Source organism: Homo sapiens, chromosome 1, assembly GCF_000001405.40.
Source record: "Homo sapiens chromosome 1, GRCh38.p14 Primary Assembly".
NCBI classification, from domain to species: domain Eukaryota; kingdom Metazoa; phylum Chordata; class Mammalia; order Primates; family Hominidae; genus Homo; species Homo sapiens.
This window is the reverse complement of record NC_000001.11, coordinates 77,769,271-77,790,870: the sequence shown is the minus strand read 5'-3', so window position 1 is coordinate 77,790,870 and position 21,600 is coordinate 77,769,271. Positions and strand designations below refer to the sequence as shown.

The 21,600-nt window shown below is 43.6% G+C and overlaps 1 protein-coding gene and 2 pseudogenes across 17 annotated transcripts in view, besides 4 other annotated features; 1 reads left to right on the top strand and 2 right to left on the bottom strand.

Moving 5' to 3' along the window:
• MIGA1 (mitoguardin 1) overlaps positions 1-11,222 on the bottom strand; it is a 99,892-nt gene extending 88,670 nt beyond the window's left edge. For 4 of the 17 annotated variants that reach the window (NM_001270384.2, NM_198549.4, NM_001416120.1 and 1 more), the window contains exons 1-2: positions 11,135-11,222; positions 7,520-7,633 (exon numbers count right to left, since the gene is read on the bottom strand). In NM_001270384.2, coding sequence (NP_001257313.1) covers positions 7,520-7,633; positions 11,135-11,215 — 195 coding nt within the window. In that variant the 5' untranslated portion in view covers positions 11,216-11,222. Of the gene's footprint in view, positions 1-7,519; positions 7,634-10,678; positions 11,067-11,134 lie in introns of those variants that run through there. The other 13 variants (NM_001394570.1, NM_001394571.1, NM_001394576.1 and 10 more) reach the window with 7 other exon arrangements.
• On the bottom strand, positions 10,872-10,967 carry RNA5SP21 (RNA, 5S ribosomal pseudogene 21; annotated as a pseudogene).
• Positions 11,246-11,335: an enhancer, noted in NCBI's record as "active region_1221". NCBI's record gives its function as "activates an Ori minimal core promoter by ATAC-STARR-seq in GM12878 lymphoblastoid cells {active_cell/tissue: GM12878}" and the evidence as "EXISTENCE:reporter gene assay evidence [ECO:0000049][PMID:35858748]".
• Positions 14,710-15,234: an enhancer, noted in NCBI's record as "H3K27ac-H3K4me1 hESC enhancer chr1:78241322-78241846 (GRCh37/hg19 assembly coordinates)". NCBI's record gives its function as "activates a minimal SCP1, AML or CMV promoter by ChIP-STARR-seq in primed H9 embryonic stem cells {active_cell/tissue: H9 hESC(primed)}" and the evidence as "EXISTENCE:reporter gene assay evidence [ECO:0000049][PMID:30033119]".
• ACTG1P21 (actin gamma 1 pseudogene 21) lies at positions 15,992-17,003 on the top strand (annotated as a pseudogene).
• Positions 19,953-20,142: an enhancer, noted in NCBI's record as "active region_1220". NCBI's record gives its function as "activates an Ori minimal core promoter by ATAC-STARR-seq in GM12878 lymphoblastoid cells {active_cell/tissue: GM12878}" and the evidence as "EXISTENCE:reporter gene assay evidence [ECO:0000049][PMID:35858748]".
• Positions 20,623-20,852: an enhancer, noted in NCBI's record as "active region_1219". NCBI's record gives its function as "activates an Ori minimal core promoter by ATAC-STARR-seq in GM12878 lymphoblastoid cells {active_cell/tissue: GM12878}" and the evidence as "EXISTENCE:reporter gene assay evidence [ECO:0000049][PMID:35858748]".

The following is a 21,600-nucleotide window of genomic DNA, read 5'->3' as shown; positions in this document are numbered from 1 at the left end:
CACACCTGTAATCCCAGCACTTTGGGAGGCTGAGGCGGGTGGATAACTTGAGGTCAGGAGTTTGGGACGAACCTGGCCAACATGGTGAAACCCCATCTCTACTAAAAATACAAAAGATTAGCCGGGCATGATGGTGGGCACCTGTAATCTCAGCTACTCATGGGGCTGAGGCAGGAGAATCGCTTGAACCTGGGATGTGGAGGTTGCAAGTGAGCCAAGATCGCACCATTGCACTCCTACCTGGGCAACAGGAGCAAAACTCTGTCTCAAAAAAAAAAAAAAGGAATGGTGCAAAGAAAGGTGGGGGCCGGGCGCAGTGGTTCATGCCTGTAATCCCAGCACTTTGGGAGGCCGAGGCGGGCAGATCACGAGGTGAGGAGATCAAGACCATCCTGGCTAACATGGTGAAACCCCGTCTCTACTAAAAATACAAAAAATTAGCCGGGTGTGGTGGCGGGAGCCTGTAGTCCCAGCTACTCAGGAGACTGAGGCAGGAGAATCACTTGAACCCGGGAGGCGGAGCTTGCAGTGAGCTGAGACTGCGTCACTGTGCTCCAGCCTGGAGGACAGAGACAAAAAAAGAAAGGTGTGAGTGTGATTATAAAGAGGATGCAAGAGGTAAATCTTTAAGGTGATAGAAGAGTTCTGGATCTTGATAGAGGCTGTGGTTACATAAATCTATGCATATGATAAAATGGCTTGGCATAGAATTATATACATACATTGTCACTGTCAATTTCTTGATTGTGATATTGTACTATAGTCATATAAAATGTAACCATTGGGGGAAATGGGATAAAAGGTACACTGGGCCTTGCTGTATAATTTTTGCAACTTCCTATGAATCTATAATTATTTCAAAATAAAGTTTTTAAAAATAAGCTGTACCAACCTAGTTTCTAATCCAGAATAATTCAAACCAAAGAACTTTTGGGAGGGTTTTATAATTGGATTGTTTTCCTTCTCACAACTATTCACTGTAATCTGAATTGACTCATGGTACCTAGTTTGTTGTCTTTATCATTTTACACTAAAGGGGTCCTTGAAGAAGTGGTTGATTCTAGGTATGGAGCAGGAAAAGTACAAGATAAGCCTGTGCCATTTTATACTAGATAGCAAGGATTACGAGGGTTTTATCAAGAGCACTCAGGAACCAACCTGAATAGACTCTCACTGGCCAAATATGAGATCATTTGAGCATAAATAAGAATAAATAAATGCAATGGTTTAAAACATCAAATACAATTAAATCCATAAGATCAAAACGATTTTTAAAAAACTTTCATTGATTGGCTGTGAAGGATACTACAGAACCATCTTGTTATTTTAAAATCTGGTTAAAAAAAGAGAAAGAGAGAGAAAGCCAAACACGGTGGCTCACACCCATTATCCTAGCACTTTGGGAGGCCAATACGGGAGGATCGCTTGAATCCAGGAGTTTGAGACCAGCCTGGGCAAGATGGTAAAACCCTGTCTCTACAAAAAATAAAAAAAATTAGCTGGGTGTGTTGGTACACTCCTGTAGTACAAGCTACTTGGGAGGCTAAGGTGGAAGGATCACCTGAGCCTGGGAGGATTCAGCTGCAGTGAGCCATGACTTACTGCCGGGATTTGCAGCCCGGGCAACAAAGCAAGACCTCGTCTCAAAGAAAAAAAAAAAAAAAAAAAAGCAACCGCCCCCCACAATTCCATTTAGATTATTATCCAAAAGAATACAATACTTAGGAATTAACCAAAGATGTGAAAGACTTCTACAATTTAAAAATATATATATATACACGTTGCTGAAAGAAATTAAAGAAAACATGAATAAACAGAAACACATCCCATGTTCATAGATTAGAAGACTTAACATTGTTAAGATGTCAATACTACCCAAAGCAATCTACAGATTCAATGCAGTCTCTATCAAAATCCCAATGATTTTTTGGCAGAAATAGAAAAACCCATCCTAAATGTCATACGGAATCTCAAGGGACTTAGAATAGCCAAAATAAACTTGAAAAAGAAGAACAAAGCTGGAGGACTCACATTTCCTAATTTCAAAACTCACTATAAAGCGACAGTAATCAAAACAGTAAGGTACTGGCATCAAGGGCACAGAAATAAAACCTCACATATATCATCAAATGATTTTCCACAGGGGTGCAAGACCATTCAGTCGGAAATGGAGAGTTTTTTCAACAAATGGTATAGGGAAAACTGGACCCTTACCTAATAATACATACAAAAATTAACTCAAAATGGATCAAAGACCTAAATATAAGTCCTAAAACCCTAAGAAGCTTCACAACATCGGATTTGGCAATGACTTCTTAAATATGACAATGAAGACACAGGCAACAAAAAAAAGATACAAACAAGACTTGATGAAAATTTTAAAATTTTGTGCATCAAAAGACACCATCAACAGAATAAAAAAGTAATTCACAGGGTTGGGCACCGTGGTTCATGCCTGTAATCCCAGCACTTTGGAGGCCAAGGTGGGTGGATCGCTTAAGGTCAGGAGTTCGAGACCAGCCTAGCCAACATAGTGAAACCCCGTCTCTACTAAAAATACAAAAATTAGGCCAGGTACACTGGCTCATGCCTATAATCCCAGCACTTTGGGAGGCCAAGGCAGGCGGATCACTTGACGTCAGGAGTTCAAGACCAGCCTGGCCAACATGGTGAAACCCCATCTCTATTAAAAATACAAAAATTAGCCAGGCATGCTGGCACATGCCTATAATCCCAGCTACTTGGGAAGCTGAGGCAGAAGAATTGCTTGAACCCAGGAGGCGGAGGTTGCAGTGAGCGGAGGTTGCAGTGAGCCGAGATTGCGCCATTGCACTCTAACCTGGGTGAAGAAGCGAGACTCTGTCTAAAAAAAAGAAAAAATACAAAAATTAGCCAGGTGTGGTGGCAGGCACCTGTAATACCAGCTACTCGGGAGGCTGAGGCAGGAGAATTGCTTGAACCCAGGAGGCAGAGGTTGCAGTGAGCCAAGACTGCACCACTACACTCCAGCTTGGGTGACAGAGTGAGACTCCATCTCAAAAAAAAAAAAAAAGAAAAGAAAAGTAATTCACAGAATTGGAGAAATATATGGAAATCATATAACTAACAAGGAATTAATATCCAGACTATACAGAGAACTAAAACTCCACGAGAACAAAACAATTTCAAAAATGGGCAAAGGGGCCAGGCACAAGTGGCTCACACCTGTAATCCCAACACTTTGGGAGGCGGAGGCGGGCAGATCACCTGAGGTCAGGAGTTCCAGACGAGCCTGGCCAGCATGGCAAAACCCTGACTCTATTAAAAATACAAAAATTAGCCAGGTATGGTGGCAGGCGCCTGTAATCTCAGCTACTCAGGAGGCTAAGGCAGGGAGAATTGCTTGAACCCAGGAGGCCGAGGCTGCAGTGAGCAGTGAGATTGCACCACTGCATTCCAGCCCATGCAACAGAGTGAGATTCTGTCTTACAAAAAAAAAAAAAAAGGGCAAAGGACTAAAATATACATTTCTTCAAAGGATACATATAAATGGTCAATAAGCACATGAGAAGATGCTCAACATCATCAGGGAAATACAAATCAAAACCAGAAGGATATACTACCTTTGATATGGTTTGGCTGTGTCCCCACCCAAATCTCATCTTGAATTCCCATGTGTTGTGAGAGGGACCCAGTGGCAGGTAATTGAATCATGGGGACAAGTCCTTCCCTTGCTGTTCTCATGACAGCGCATAAGTCTCACGAGATCTGATGGTTTGATAAGGGGAAACCCATTTCATTTGGCTCTCACTCTCTCTTGCGGCTGCCATGTGAGACGTGCCTTTCACCTTCCGCCATGATTGTGAGGCCTCCCCAGCTACATGGAACTGTAAGTCCAATAAAGCTTTCTTTTGTAAATTGCCCAGTCTCAGGTATGTCTTTATCAGCAGCATGAAAATGGACTAATACAGTAAATTGGTACCAGTAGAGTGGGGTGCTGCTGAAAAGATACCCAAAAATGTGGATGTGACTTTGGAACGGGATAACAGGCAGAGGTTCAAATAGTTTGGAGGGCTCAGAAGAAGAGAGGAAAATGTGGGAAAGTTTGGAACTTCCTAGAGTCTTGTTGAATGGCTTTGCTCAAAATGCTGATAGTGATATGAATAATAAAGTGAGGCTGAGGTGGTCTCAGATGGAGATGAGGAACTCATTGGGAACTGGCACAAAGGTGACTCTTACTATATTTTAGCAAAGAGACTGGTGGCATTTTGCCCCTGACCTAGAAATCTGTGAAACATTGAACTTGAGAGAGATGATTTAGGGTATCTAGCAGAAGAAACCTCTAAGCAGCAAAGCATTCAAGAGGTGACTTGGGTGCTGTTAAAGGCATTCAGTTTTATAAGGGATGCAGAGCACAAAAGTTTGGAAAATTTGCAACCTGACAATGCCATAGAAAAGAAAATTCCATTTTCTGAGAAGTTCAAGCAGGCTGCAGAAATTTGCATAAGTAAAGAGAAGCCAAATGTTAATCCCCAAGATAATGGGGAAAATGTCTCCAGGGCATGTCAGAGGTCTTCACGGCAGCCCCTCCCATCACCAGCCAGGAGGCCTAGGAGGAAAAAGTGGTTTCAGGGGCCAGGCCCAGTGTCCCCGTGCTGTGTGCAGCCTAGGGACTTGGTGCCCTGCATCCCAGCCACTCTAGCCATGGTTGAAAGGGGCCACCATAGAGCTTGGGCTGTGGCTTCAGAGGGTGCAAGCCACAAGCCTTAGCAACTTCCACATGGTGTTGAGGCTGCCAGTGCACAGAAATCAAGAATTGGAGTTTGGGAACCTCCACCTAGATTTCAGAAGATGTATGGAAATGCCTGGATGCCCAGGCAGAAGTTTGCTGCAGGGGTGGGCCCTCATGGAGAACCTCTGCTAGGGCAGTACAGAAGGGAAACATGGAGTCGGAGGCCCCACACAGAGTCCCTACTGGGGCACCGCCTAGTGCAGCTGTGAGAAGAGGGCCACCGTCCTCCAGACCCCAGAATGATAGATCCACCAACAGCTTGCACCATACACCTGGGAAAGCCACAGACATTCAATGCCAGCCCATAAAAGCAGCCGGGAGGGAGGCTGTACCCTGCAAAGCCACAAGGGCAGAGCTACCTACGACCATGGGAACCCACCTCTTGCATCAGCATGACCTGGATGTGAGACATGGAGTCAAAAGAGATCATTTTGGAACTTTAATATTTGACTGCCCTGGCCGGGTGCAGTGGCTCACACCTGTAATCCCAGTACTTTGGGAGGCCAAGGCAGGCAGATCACCTGAGGTCAGCAGTTCAAGACCAGCCTGACCAACATGGAGAAACCCCATCTCTACTAAAAATACAAAACTAGCCAGGCGTGGTGGCACATGTCTGTAATCCCAGCTACTCAGGAGGCTGAGGCAGGAGAATCGCTTGAACTCGGGAGGCAGAGGTTGCGGTGAGCCAAGATTGTACCATTGCACTTCAGCCTGGGCAACAAGAGCCAAACTCCCTCTCAAAAAAAAAAAAAAATTTTTGACTGCCCTGCTGGATTTCAAACTTGCATGGGGCCTGTAGCTCCTTTGTTTTGGCCAATTTTTCCCATTCGGAATAGCCATATTTACCCAATGCCCATACCCCCATTCTATCTAGGAAGTAACTAATTTGCTTTTGATTTTACAGGCTTATAGGTGGAAGGGACTTGCCTTGTCTCAGATGAGACTTTGGACTGTGGACTTTTGAGTTAATGCTGAAATGAGTCAAGACTTTGAGGGACTGTTGGGAAGGCATGATTGCTTCTGAAATGTGAGGACATGAGATTTGGGAGGGGCCAGGAGCAGAATGATATGGTTTGGCTGTGTCCCCACCCAAATCTCATCTTGAATTCCCACGTGTTGTGGGAGGGACCCAATGGTAGGTAACTGAATCATGGGGACAAGTCCTTCCCTTGCTGTTCTCATGATAATGAGTAAGTGTCACAATATCTGACAGTTTCAAAAATGGGAGTTTTTTTGCACAAGCTCTTGTCTGCCGCCATATGAGATGTGATTTTCACCTTCCACCATGATTGTGAGACCTCCCCAGCCATGTGGAACTGTGAGTCCAATAAACGTCTTTCTTTTGTAAATTGCCCAGTCTTGGGTATATCTTTATCAGCAGCATGAAAACGGACTAATATAACCTCATACCTATTAGGATGGCTACTATCAATGAAATAGAAAATAACAAGCATTGATGAGGATGTGGAAAAACTGTGCACTATGTGGAAAAACTGTGCACTATTGGTAGAAACGTAAAGTGGTACAGCTACTGTGAAAAACAGTATGGCAGTTCCTCAAAAAATTAAAAATAGGGCTGGGTGAACCAGCTGACACCTATAATCCCAGTACTTTAGGAGGTCAAAGTGAGAGGATGATTTGAGGCCAGGAGTTCAAGACCAGCCTGGTCAACATGCTGAGACTCTGTCTCTTCAAAAAATTTAAAAACTGGTGGAGAGATGGTGGCACATGCCTGTAGTCCCAGCTACTTGAGAGGCTGAAGTGGGAGGATTGCTTGACCCCAGGAGTTTGAGGCTGCAGTGAGCTATGATCTTGCCACTGTACTCCAAAGCAAGACCCTGCCTCTAAAAAATAATAATAAATAAATAAATACATAAATAAATAAATTTAATTAAAAGTAGAATTACTGTATGATCCAGCAATTTCACTTGACACAAAATAATTAAAAGCAGGATCTCAAAGAGATATTTGTATGTCCATGTTTATAGCAGCATTATTCACAATAGCAAAAACATGGACGCAATCCAATGTCCATCAACAAACACACACATAAGCAAAATGTAGTATATCCACACAACGAAATATTATTCTACCTTAAAAAGAAAGGAAATGCTGACATATGCTACAACATGGATGAACCTTGAGGACATTATGCTAAGTAAAGTGAGCTAGTCACAAAAAAATTCTGTAGGGTTCTACTTGTGAGGTACCTGGTCGAATTCATACAGACAGGAAACAGAATGGTGGTGGGGAATGACGGGAAGGAGGTACAGTAAGATGTTGATAAACAGTTGTAGAGTTTGAGTTTTGCAAGATGAAAAAAATTCTGGATATTGTTTGTACAACAATGTGAATGTACTTAAGGCTAATGAACTATACACTTAAAAATGATCAAAATGGTCAATTTTATGTTATTTGTACCTTACCACAATAAAATTTAAAGGATTGTTAATAGTGAGAACAGGCCTACTGGAATAACATAATTCACTGAAAGTAATAATAATGGACTATGTAAGTTTGCTTAAGACAGAAAAAAATTTTTAAGTAACATAACCTTTTTTTAAGAGTTACAATAACCAAAACCAAAAACAAAAACCCGTGAAATAACCAAGTAGGTTTTTTAACTACTGTAATAAATATTTTGACTGTACTATATAGAAACCTCAAATAAAACTGAAATAATGTAAACAAAATATGCTCTGAGCAATAAGCTTAATATTCAACTTCCTGTTTGCTTCTTTTATTTACCTGGGAGAGAGAATAGTACCAAGTCAGAGGAAGATCAAACACTCTTAGCGCTGCTGTCTTCAAGGAAAACTGTGATTCACTTACTGTTTCTTCTGACATGGCTCCTCTTCTAATCTTCATTAAATGAAACATAAAAAAAATTAGCCACAAAGATTTCTGGTTACTTTACCAATGAAAGGTACAAACTGAAAATTTAATTCTATCAGCTTATTTTTGCAGTCAATTATTGATGACATTACACTTGAGCTAAAATTATATTTATTAATCACCAAACGCGTAAAAGAAACAATAAGCTATCCTTCCTGTAGGAGATAGCATAAAAAATAAGAAGTTAAAAAAAAAAAAAAGCTAGATTTAAACTTTGAGTCCGGGTAGCAAATTTTCCTTAGGAAATTGCGAGTTCTAGATTCTCTCTTTTCTGGTTACATAAAAATTTAACACTTTTTAGGGAGTAATTTAAAATTTACTTCTCATTCATTTGGTTTCCTTCATATAACTGCGGGGGTGAGAGTAGGTGGCAGGCAGGTTGCTGAATGGAATCTGGAACAGAATCTTGGGGCTAGAACCTCAGAGTTCACTGACTGAACTCCAGAACTCACGCATTTATTCTCCTATTGTCTCATTTTAAAGATCTTCAAAGAAATGCCACATATATGCTATATGATTTTGGTATAGTTTTAATGCGTATTATTTCTCTTAAACAAAAAAAGAAAAGTCAGATGAGTACAGAGAAGCAGTTGACACACAAAGAGAGGTCATTAAGGCAGTGGTTCAGGGTCTGGGTCTCTGCTTTATAGAGCCAGAAACGTAATTTTACCACTGTACCCAGTTGAACACATGTTAAACAAATTTACATGGTATTGATGCATAAATCACTTTACAAGTTTATCTATTTATAATAAAGAAATAAACGATCTAGTGTACATATTCTATCAAAACATACCATCCCTGAAATAAAAGACCATAGGAAGCTGAACTAATAAGTCAAAAATGTTGCCTGATGAGTGCAAAAATCAAGAGTCCTGAGGAATATTTCATTCAGGCCAAGAAAACGCCTAAGCATTATCTCTAATGCACAAGAGAATGGGCTTCTCTAATAACCACAATGTTTATGTCTACCAAATTTATTATTTCTTTTATTTGGGTAGTGCTGTATATTACATAACAGAATATAAAAATTACCAGCAATCCCTCTATAAAAGTTTATTTGCGGCTGGGCACAGTGAGTGGCTCATGCCTGAGCACTTTGGGAGTGACTTTGGGAGGCCGAGATGGGTGGATTGCTTGAGTCCATGAACCCAGGAGTTCGAGACCAGCCTGGGAAACATGGTGAAACCCTGCCTACACCAAAAAAAAAAAAAATTATTTGCTACACTTTTTTAGGCCCTTCATTTCTGCATACATTTCTATGTTCTCTTTTTCTATACTCCAATAGACTATCCCCTTCTGTTAATACCCACCTGTTTTCAGACAAGTGTCAAAACCACTGATTAAGTAGTGGTTTCCTTTAAAATCAAACACAGCAATACCTCTTAGGGTGGGTTACTACTACTGATGCTTCCCTTAATCCTTACTAGGGATACAGCAGTATAAACTTAATCCCCCCTACCAGTGTTCTAAGTACAACTTTTAGATTCAGTATAGTTAGTTCTACTTGACATACATTTATTTCAGTCAACAACCTGTGATAGAGACATATGATTAAAAAGTACAGAGGAAACCATGAACAGTTAAGAAAGTGAAAAATGGTCCTCTGGAGAATAAGACAAGGGATATAGAAAAGCTGGGCAAAGAATGACTGCTTTTCCTTATAAGTCTGTTTGTAATACTTGATTTTTAAAAACCTGCCTACATGTATTACTTTTTTAATATTACTACAGTAAAAAGGAAGTGGGGGGAAGCTCATTTATTCTTCCCCCTCCCTAAATATTAACACATTTTATTTTGAGAAACATTTTTACTAATTAGATTCTGGATCATTAAGCAATCTATGCTACTGCATTTAAAAAACGTATTGAGTAATTCACCCAAAGTAATTTTCCCTATAATGGAGCATTCCAAATTTTTAAGCAGAATAGAAAGAAAATAAAGCAAACACTTTAATTGGCTGCAGAGATATTCTTAAAAGATTATGACAAACCTCGGCCAGGCGTGGTGGCTCACGCCTGTAATCCCAGCATTTTGGGAGGCCGAGGTGGGTGGATCAGTTGAGGTCAAGAGTTCAAGACCAGCCTGGCCAATATAGCGAAACCCCATCTCTACTACAAATACAAAAAAATTAGCCAGGAGTGATGTCGGGCGCCTGTAATCCCAGCTACTCGGAAGGCTGAGGTAGGAGAACTTCTAGAACCCTAGGGGCGGAGGTTGCAGTGAGCAGAGATCACGCCATTGCACTCCAGCCTGGGCGACAGAGCCAGACTCCGCCTCAAAAAAAAAAAAAAAAGAAAAAAGAAAAAATATTATGACAAACCTCTATTTTTGCATTCTAACTACCTCATTCTTTTTCATTTAATATTACTGAGGAAGTTGATTCCAAACCTAATCATTATTCATTGAAAAACTAAAGAAAAAAAAACAAAAAACTAGTCATTTCATTTGCTTTCAGAAGCATAATAAAAATAAACATGAAGGGGGTTTCATGATTATTCAAATTTATAGACGGAATCTATAAAACATAACCAAAAATATTGTCCTGTGTGATATTACTTGCTCCTCTACATTCCAACTACTGGGGAATTAAAAATAAGTGTCATAAACAGTTTCTTAGACATCTTAAAATTCTATCCTGCAACTTTGACTTTATAATCCAACAGGAAGGAAAGTCTGAAGTATCAAAAAGAAAATTGACGTGAAGCACAAATCTATATAACCTAACTCTGACACTTTGAACAGAGCAAACATGTTTAGCTGCAATAACAACAACAATAAAACAACAATAATAAAGGTTTCAAAGTCCTGTGCAAAAACAAGCTGAGTCTTCCCTCTGGAAAATAGATAATTTAACAACTTTACAGAAGGACCTGACACCACAATACTCCCGTGCTAAATTATTCTCTTAAAGCACCTGCAAAGCAGAGTAATCTTTCACATCCAAAAGCCACTCCCTGCTCAAAACCACCCGCATCCAAGCCGAACCTGAGACCTCACCAGCTGCCCTACCTCCAGCGCGCTCTCCCCCGACCCCACAGCAGCCCCTCGCGGAGCTCTCCTCTGCTGTCTTCCTTTTTCTTTGCCAAGAACACCAGAAAAGGGGGTCCCTCCAGCTCGGCCGTCCAGACCCTTCCTCTGGCTCAGAGCAGTGGCGAGCCCATCCCAATTCCGCGCTTCCTTTGCAGGCCTCCCTCTGGCGTGGGGACCCTCCTGCTTTCCTATGCAAGTACTAACCAGGCCCGACCCTGCTTAGCTTCTGAGATGAGACGAGGTCGGGGGTGTTCAGGGTGGCACGGCCGTAGACCCTCTGGCTTTCCGCCGCTCCACCTGGCACTCCGAGAGCTAACGCCAGCGATGGAGTCCGCGCCACCCCTGCCCCGAGGCCTCTGCCCCAACTGCGTGGCCGCTCAACTCTCCGCTTCCTCCCGCCCGCCTCTCCACCCCACCCCGCCCCTGGCCCTGTACCTGGAGCTCCAGGCCAGGTACAGCTGGCCTGCCCACGCCAGCTTCCCAGCTGATGCCTGGCGCTGAGCAGCAGTCTGACATGGAGAAGGCGGAGTCCTTCCGGGGTCAGGAGTGCGAAGGTGGAGAGAAAGTGGAGGGGGCCTTCCAGGCTTTCTGCGTGAGGGACTACGTGTGAAGCAGCTCCCGCCATTTTTGTTTAGGGTAGAGGCTCCTTCCTCGTCAAGTGGATGCAAAAACTATATTCGAAGAATTGCATCCTTTTACAAACCGGTAAAAAAAAAAAAAAAAAACTAGTATTGTAGTTCGTAACCTGTCGGGGGATCTAGAACGGTTGTCAATCTGGTAAAAATTATGGAGGGTTTCCCCTGGAAAAAAAAAAATGTGTATACACATGCTCATTACATTAAAGAAAAAAAAGTTACACAATTTCAAAACCCTGAAAACAAGATTAAGAACTTCTACCACAGGCCCTCAGCCCTCAGATGAATGAGTGTTAAGAGGCATTCCAATCCGGTATAGATGATGCATTTATTATTGATTTCATGTCCTCTTTACCTTTTTTTCTGTGTTTCCCACTGAATTAGGCAACCGAAGAATATTGAATGTGGCAATTTATTGGCAGAGTAGTCACCTCTCTCAGGTTCTAATACATAGTAAACTAATAGGGGGCCGGGTTAGGAAAAAATAACAACAACAAAACCCAAGGTACTGTTTCTACGTTCAGTCTTCAGTCAAAACATTCCATCAGAACTGCAGATTTAGGCGGGGCACGGTGGCTGAAGCCTGTAATCCCAGCACTTTGGCGGGCCAAGGCGGGCAGATCACTTGAGGTCAGGAGTTCAAGACCAGCCTGGCCAACATGGCGAAACCCCATCTCTACTAAAAGTACAAAAATTAGCCAGGCACCTGCCTGTAATCCCAGCTACTCGGGAGGCTGAGGCAGGAAAATCGCTTGAACCCGGGAGGCGGAGGTTGTGTGAGCCCAGATAGTGCTACTGCACCCCAACCTGGGTGACTAGAGTGAGACTCTGTCTCAAAACAAAAAACAAAACAAAACAAAACAAAACAAAAAAACTGCAGATTTAAGAATTCCAGTTGCTGAGCATATTTGTGGTGAAAAGCCAAAATAATTCTGTTTTCAAAATTCCCATTTAACCAAATGGAAAATAGAATAGTAGTACCAATTTATGATATTATTAGATTAATAATAACTAACGATCCACAGACTGGGTTTTATGTGAAAATATTTTGCACTTATAGGGTAAATGGAGCTCTTGAGACTTGAAGAACCTGAAATTTGTAAGGCTATTTTCATTTATTTTCCCAATTTCCTCCTCTTTCCCATTTCCCACAGCTTCCAAACATTCAACGTAATGAGAATAGCAGTAATGATGATGACTACCACTCAACACAACTTTCCTGAGACCATATTATCTCCTTAATTCCACAATAAACATTATGAGAAAAATAGTATTACACGGTGGGTACAGAGTTTATTCTTTAGCATGAGAATAAGATATGTCACATTTAGGCCAAGTGAGGTGGCTCACATCTGTAATCCCAACACTTTGTGGGGCCGATGAGGGAGGATCCCTTGAGGTAAGAAGTTCGAGATTAGCCTGGGCAATAGCAAGACCCTCATTTCTACAAAATAATAATAAAATATATAAAATAGAAATATCACATTTAATTTATGTTTATAAACCAAATGTAATTTGCTGTAAGCCTCCCTTCTTCTGGTTTGGCAGAGTACTGCACTCAATCTTAGCCATTATTGGATATATTAGTTAACATATTCGCTACAAGTAAAAGAAAACCAAACAAGTAGTGGTTTAAACCAGAAGGACAGGGGACTCAATGTCTTCTGATATTGGAGACAAGGAAAAAAAAATTGGAGCCTGGATTAATTCTGAAGGCCAGTACCTCCCCCAGATAACCAAGCCATCGTGTAATGCTCACTAAACCAGAGAATGGAGTTCATGGAGTACTACCAGTTGTTTCTTCTGTACAAGTACTGCAATACATGCTACAGCAACCATTAATGAATTTAGGGGATCCTATCTGCATAATATCAAAACAAAACTGTGAAGTCAGACTGCCTGGGTTTGAATCCTTTCTTGGCCACTTACTAGATGCATTGTTAAAGGAAAAGAAACACAAAGCTATTTTTCTGTAGTTTCAACACTTCTGACTCCAAATGTGTGGAGGTTTTTCCCCACCAAACAAGTCTCCAATTATTTCTTATTATAAACTCCACTCTTTAATTTAGTGTCTACCAACTGGGTGTTGTACAGTTAAATTTAATTCAATACTATGCACCAAACCCTTAAGGGCTCAGTCCTACAAGACTGCCCCCACTTCAGATACCAATTGCAAATCCCAGGTTGTCACTTGTACTTCTGACCAACCAGCTATAAATCAGGAATTCCCACAATCTTCTCCTCCCATCCCAAACCAGTCTATTGATTTATAACAGAAGATATTACAAAGGATACAGATGAACAGCCGGATGAAGAGGTACATAAAACAAGATCTGGAAGGATCCTAAGTGCAGGAACTTCTGTCCCCATGGAATCAGGGTGTATGACCTTTTTGGGATATGGATGTGTTCACCAACTCAGAAGCTCTTAGAACCCCGTACTTCAGGGATTTCTGTGGAGGCTTCATAATGTTGTTACCAGAAAGGGGTACCAATCCAGATCCCAAGAGAGGGTGCTTGGATTTCGCACAAGAAAGAATTCAGGGCAAGTCCACAGTCCAAAGCAAAAGCAAGTTTAAGACAGTGAAGTGGTGAATGTCCACTTACTCTATAGACAGAGTAGGGCGTTCCCAAAAGGAAGAAGAGGAATGCATCCACTCTAGGTACAATATTCATTTATAGAGGAGTTAAAAAAAAAAAGATCATGGGAAGATGTGCTCTGCTACGAGGGTTTGTGGTAAAAGATTAATTTTCTTAATTACCATATTTTGCAAGAATTAATATTATTATCTTTAAAGCAAAATTAGGAATGCTTTTGCTCTCAAGGTATCAGGGACATCAGGACACTCCCAAGTCTGGGTCTGTTTAGTAAACATTATCAATCTGTTCCCTTAACTGTAAATGTTTAGAAGCTAGAAATGCCTAACTTTCTGGGAATGCAGCCCAGCAAGTCCCAGCCTCATTTTCCTAGCCCGCACTCAAAACGGAGTCGCTCTGGTTTGAACCCTCTGACAATGTAACCATAATTGATTATTAACTCAATCTTCAACTACTCTCTCCTCCACAGAGGATAGGGTAGGTATGGGGCCAACATTTTTAAGCTTCTAATCATAGCTTGAATTTGCTGGTGACCAGCCCCTATCCTGAAGCTATCCAGGAGCCCAACAAGAATATTAGAAAAAAAGACACTCCTATCAACCGGGAAATTCCAAGAGATTTAGGAGCTCTGTGTCAGGACTGGGGACAGAGAGCAAATATATATCTTTTCTTTCTTTGTTTCTTTTCCTTCTGTCTGTCTCGTTTGCCTGCCTGCCTGCCCGCCCGCCTTCCTTCCTTCCTTCCTTCCTTCCTTCCTTCCTTCCTTCCTTCTTTCTTTCTTTGTCTCTTTCTCTCTTTCTTTCTTTCTTGCTTTGATACAGGATCTCACTTTATTGCCCAGGCTGCACTGAAGTAGTGTGATCATAGCTCACTGCAGCCTAGAACTCCTGGGCTCAAGTGATCTTCCTGCTTCAGTCTTCTGAGTGGCCAGGACTACAGGCACTTGCCACCATGCCCAGTTAATTTTTAAAATTTTAGTAGAGACAATGTCTCCCTATGTTGCCAGGGCCTGGTCTCAAACTCCTGGGCTCAAGTGATCCTCCCACCTCAGCCTCCCAAAATGTTGGGATTATAGGTGTGAGACACAGTGCCTGGCCCAAATATGTATTTTTTATGTCACAGTGGTCTTCAGCAAGGTACTTACCCTTTTCATGTCTCAATTTCCTCCTGGCATGTTAGAAAGACAAATATAGGCCTGGCACTGTGGCTCACACCTGGAGGCCGAGGTGAGCAGATCATTTGAGGTTAGGAGCTCGAGACCAGTCTGGTCAACATGGTGAAACCCCATCTGTACTAAAAATACAAAATTAGCCAGATGTGGTGGTGCGTGCCTGTAATTCCAGCTACTCGGGAGGCTGAGGTAGGAGAATCGTTTGAATCCAGGAGGCAGAGGTTGCAGTGAGCCAAGATCACGCCGCTGCTCTCCAGCCTAGGCAACAGAGCAGGACTCTGTCTCAAAAAATAAAAAGAAAAAGAAAGACAAATATAGTAATGCTTAGAAAGAACTAAGAATCTTATGGAAAATTTTTTTTTTTTGGAGACGAAGTCTCGCTCTGTTGCCCAGGGTGGAATGCAGTGGCACGATCTCGGCTCACTGCGACCTCCACCTCCCGGGTTCAAGCAATTCTCCTGCCTCAGCCTCCCAAGTAGCTGAGACTACAGGCGCATGCTGCCATGCCAAGCTAATTTTTTGTATTTTAGTAGAGACAGGGTTTCACTGTGTTGCCTGAGCTGTTCTCAGACTCCTGAACTCAGGCAGTACGCCTGCCTTGGCCTCCCAAAATGCTAGGATTACAGGTGTGAGCCAACGCACCCAGCTCTTATGGAAATTTTTCACTTGAGTACTTGGACCTCCATAGGATCCAAGGAGGCAACTGTATTTCAATATAGTTGGTTTGCCTTGTAATCCCATGTATTTGTTTTATGCACATAGAAGCATTACTTTGAAAAGGGGGTCCCAGACTCTACCAGAAAGCCAAGAGGTCCATAAAAAAAAAAGGTTAAGAATGTAGAACAGACTGCTAAGACCGCGTCCACCCCGCGAGCACAGAGCTCCGCTGCCCTTCCACATCTGTGTGATGGTGGGCATGGGTCAAAAGGACTCCTACGAGGGTGATGAGGCCCAGAGCAAGAGAGGTATCCTGACCCTGAAGTACCCCATAGAGCACAGCATCATCACCAACTGGGATGACATGGAGAAGATCTGGCACCACAACTTCTACAACGAGCCGCGTGTGGCTCCAAGGAGCACCCGTAGTGCCGACTGAGGCCCCCCTGAACTCCAAGGCCAATCACGAGAAGATGACCCATATCATGTTTGAGACCTTCAACACCCCAGCCATGTACATGGCCATCCAGGCCATGCTGTCCCTGTACGCTTCTGGCCACATCGTGATGGACTCCAGCGACAGGGTCACCCACACTGTGCCCATCTACGAGGGGTAGGCCCTCCTCCAGGCCACCCTGTTTCTGGACCTGGCTGACCAGGACCTGACTGATTACCTCATAAAGATCCTCGTGGAGCGCCGCTACAGCTTCACCACCACCGCCCAGTGGGAAATCGTGCATGGCATCAAGGAGAAGCTGTGCTACGTCACCCTGGACTTGGATCAGGAGATGGCCACGGTGGCCTCCAGCTCCTCCCTGGAGAAGAGCTACTAGCTGCCCAACAGCCAGGTCATCACTATCGGCAAGGAGCGGTTCCACTGCCCCAAGGTGCTCTTCCAGTCTTCCTTCCTGGGCATGGAATCCTGTGGCATCCAAGAAACTACCTTCAACTCCATCATGAAGTGTGATGTGCACATATGCAAAGACCTCTACGCCAACACAGTGCTGTCTGGCGGCACTACCATGTACCCTGGCATCGCTGACAGGATGCAGAAGGCGATCACCACCCTGGGGCCCAGCACGATGGAGATCAAGATCATTGCTCCTCCCGAGAGTAGATACTCCATGTGGATCAGTGGCTCCATCCTGGCCTTGCTGTCCACCTTCCAGCAGATGTGGATCAGCAAGCAGGAATACAATTAGTCCAGCCCCTCCAGCCCCTCCGTTGTCCACCGCAAATGCTTCTAAGCAGACTTTTACTTAGTTGCATTACACCCTTTCTTGACAAAAGCTAACTTGCATGGAAAACAAGATGAGATTGGCATGACTTTTTTTATTTTTATTTTTTTTTTGAGGGGGTGTCTTGACTCAGTATTTTAAAACTGGAACGGTGAAGGTGAGAGTAGTCAGTTGGAGTGAGCAAGTGAGCATCCCCCAAAGTTCTACAGTGTGGCCCAGGACTTTGATTGTACATTGTTCTTTTTTTTAATAGTCATTCCAAATATCGTGAGATGCATTGTTACAGGAAGTCCCTTGCCCTCCTAAAAGTCACCCCACTTCTCTCTAAGGAGAACGGCCCAGTCCTCTCCTGAGTCCACACAGGGGAGGTGACAGCATTGCTATCATGTAAATTATGTAATGCAAATTTTTTTTTTGAAATGGAGTCTCGCTCTGTGGCCGATACTGGAGTGCAGTGGTGCAATCTTGGCGCACTGCAAGCTCCGTCGCTTGGGTTCACGCCCTTCTCCTGCCTCAGCCTCCCGAGTAGCTGGGACTACAGGCGCCTGCCACCACGCTCGGCTAATTTTTTGTATTTTTAGTAGAGATGGGGTTTCACTGTGTTAGCCAGGATGGTCTTGATCTCCTGACCTTGTGATCTGCCTGCCTCAGCCTCCCAAAGTGCTGGGATTACAGGTGTGAGCCACCGTGCCCCGCCGCAAAATTTTTTTAATCTTTGCCTTAATACTTTTTTATTTTGTTTTATTTTGAATGATCAGCCTTTGTGGCCCCCTTTTGTGTCCCCCAACTTGAGATGTATGATGAAGGCTTTTGGTTTCCCTGGGAGTGAGTGGAGGCAGCCAGGGCTTACCTGTATACTGACTTGAGACCAGTTGAATAAAAGTGCACACCTTAAAAAAAAAAAAAAAGAACATAGAACAATCCTGGCACATATTTCTAAGATATATGGCATATTAAATGAGACCCTTCAGTGCGTCTTTTAACAGAGGCTCCAAAGCTGAGAAAAATAAATGTGAAGTACCCTGAGCATTCTAAAAGAGGATGCCAGACCATCCCCATAGGACATGCTGGAAGACTGTGAAGCCAGTTTAGCAATCCTCAGTTCTCACACACCTCCCAGGAATGATATGTCAGGATTGATGAAAGAAGGTTGTAGAATAAACATGCCTGGAAGGGCCAGGCTTGGTGGCTCATGCCTGTAGTCCCAGCACTTTGGGAGGCTGAGGCAGGTGGATCACTTTGAGCCCAGGAGTTCAAGACCAGCTTGGGCAACATGATGAAAACCAGTCTCTGTAAAAATGCAAAAACTAGCTGGGTGTGGCTGGGCACACCTGTAGTGTCAGCTACTCGGGAGGTTGCGGTGGGAGGATGACATGGGAGGGTGATGGCATGAGCCCAGGAGATGGAGGTTGCAGTGATCCAAGATCGTGCTACTGTACTCCAGCCTGGGTGACAGAGCCAGACCCTGTCTCAAAAAAAAAAAAAAAAAGCCTGGGAGACAGTTTTCTGGAGTGCTGTGCATTTTTGTTCCCCTTCCCCAGGAGTGGGAAGAAGAGAGTGCTTATCCCACGCCATCTCCACCTCAAGCCAAGTAAAGGAACTTTAAGAAATTCAGACAGGTTGACTCTGTGCCCTGGATTTATGTTACCTGGAAAAGTCTAAAAGCAATAGGCTATCTAGAGAAGCCTTTGATGGCAGAACAGAGAGAGAGAGAGGCCTACAACAGAAGGGGCCTGTACTTGCAACTTTGCAAGAAAAATTTTCCTGTGGACCATGTGAGTGTCACAGAATGTAGCCAGGCTTGAATTATATTAGAAGGTTGTATCTTCAAACCAGGTTTAAATTGACCATCTAAATGTTCAGCCACAGGTTTTTTTGTCCAGGATTGGGGAATGAAACAGTAAGAGGTCCCCAGCAAAGGAGACAGTCATTGAGGAACATACAAAAGGGACAAGAAAAGAGCCAGCATCTAGGAGTGAGCCACATGCAGAAGGTACCAAAGTCAGACTTGTTTTTATTTATTTATTTAGATAGAATCTCGCTCGCTCTGTCACCCAGGCTGGAGTGCAGTGGCACAATCTTGGCTCACTGTAACCTCCACCCCCTGGGTTTGAGTGATTCTCCTTCCTCAGCCTCCCAAGTAGCTGGGACTACAGACTCATGCCACCACATCCAGCTAATTTTTCTTTCTTTCTTTTTCTTTTTTTTGAGATGGAGTCTCGCTCTGTCGCCCAGGCTGGAGTGCAGTGGCGTGGTCTCGGCTCACTGCAAGCTCCTCCTCCCGGGTTCAGGACATTCTCCTGCCTCGGCCTCCCGAGTAGCTGGGACTACAGGCGTCCGCCACCATGCCAAGCTAATTTTTTGTATTTTTAGTAGAGACGGGGTTTCACCATGTTAGCCAGGATGGTCTTGATCTCCTGATCTTGTGATCTGCCCCCCCTTGGCCTCCCAAAGTGCTGGGATTACAGGCATGAGCCACCGCATCTGGCCCTAATTTTTGTATTTTTAGTAGAGATGGGTTTCACTATGTTGGTCAGGCTGATCTCAAACTCCTGACCTCAAGTGATCTGCCCACCTCGGCCTCCCAAAGTGCTGGGATTACAGTCGTGAGCCACCGTGCCCAGCATCAAAGTCAGATTTAATTGCACTGGTTGGGTATATCTGATACTTTATTTAGAATAGTTAGGGTCGGCCGGGCGCGGTGGATCACAGCTATAATCCCAGCACTTTGGGAGGCCGAGGACGGGCGGATCACAAGGTCAGGAGAGCCAGACCATCCTGGCTAACACCGTGAAACCCCGTCTGTACTAAAAATACAAAAAATTAGTCAGGCGTGTTGACGGAGGCCTGTAGTCCCAGCTACTCGGGAGGCTGAGGCAGGAGAATGGCGTGAACCTGGGTGGCGGGGCTTGCAGTGAGCTGAGATCGCGCCACTGCATTCCAGCCTGGGCAACAGAGCGAGACTCCGTCTCGAAAAAAAAAAAACTAAGAATAGTTAGGGTCACTGCTCATTCCATCTGAAACAATATGTGGCCAATGTACTTCATGAATGATTGATTAGTGGAAACAACATTTATCAAGTGACGACATTAAGCCTGAAGAAAGAAGTCTAGCACATTGAGGTTGTAAAAGCAATTATATCACCTAAGTAGATGAACACTTTTAGGTAATTTGTAGCTCCAATTACTTTTTCTACTAACTGCAAAAACTTGGCAGTCCCCAGAAATACCTCAGGGCCTCCTTTCAAATATATACAATGCTATAGGTCACATATTGGCCATTATAGCTTTAGTCTCACTAACCTCTGAAAGTATTTTACAGGACCCTTCTATGAGTCAGAACTAAGCTAACCAAGGCATCTAGAACTCAAAGTATGGTTTTAGATGCTAATTTAGAACATCTATTCAGAGTATAGTGGTATGTACATATCCAAATACTACAGATTCAGTTCCTCAAAACGTTAAATACAGAGTTAGCATATGGTCCAGCAATTCTACTCCTAGGTAATACCCAAGAGAAATGAAACATACGTTCATACCAAAACTTGTACATGAATATGCATAGCAGCATTATTCTTTTTTTTTTTTTTGAGACATAGTCTCACTCTGTCACCCAGGCTGGAGTGCAGTGGCACGATCTCGGCTCACTGCAACCTCTGTTTCCCAGGCCCAAGTGATTCTCCCATCTCAGCCTCACGAGTAGCTGGGATTACAGGCACCCGCCATCATGCCAGCTAATTTTTGAATTTTTAGTAGAGAGTGGGTTTCACCATGTTGGCCAGGCTGGTCTCAAACTCCTCGCCTCAAGTGATCCTCCAGCCTGGGCCTCCCAAAGTGCTGGGATTACAGGCGTGAGACATCGTGCCTTGCCTAGCAGCATTTTTCTTTTCTTTTTTTTTTTTTTGAGATGGAATCTCACTCTGTTGCCCAGGCTGGAGAGCAGTGGTGCAATCTCGGCTCACTGCAAGCTCTGCCTCCCGGGTTCACACCATTCTCCCGCGTCAGCCTCCCGAGTAGCTGGGACTACAGGCGCCTACCACCATGCCTGGCTAATTTTGTTTTTGTATTTTTAGTAGAGACAGATTTTCACCGTGTTAGCCAGGATGGTCTCTATCTCCTGACCTCATGATCCACCCGCCTCGGCCTCCCAAAGTGCTGGGATTACAGATGTGAGCCACCACGCCCGGCCTCAGCAGTATTCTTAATGGCCAAAACATAGAAACAACTCAAATGTCCATCAACTGATGAATGAATAAATAAAATGTGATATATTCATGTGATATTATTTGGTCATAAAAAGGAATAATGAACTGATAAATGTTATAACATGGACGAATCTTTAAAACATTATGTTAAGTAAAGAAGCCTGTCAGGTGGGGCACGGTGGCTCACGCCTGTAATCCCAGCACTTTGGGAGGTGGAGGTGGGCAGATCATTTGAGGTTAGAAGTTCAAGACCAGCCTGGTCAACATGGTGAAACCCCATCTCTACTAAAAATATAACAATTAGTCGGGCATGGTGGTGTGCACCTGTAGTCCCAGCTACTTGGGAGGCTGAGGCAGGAGAATGGCTTGAACTCAGGAGGTGGAGGTTGCAGTGGCCAA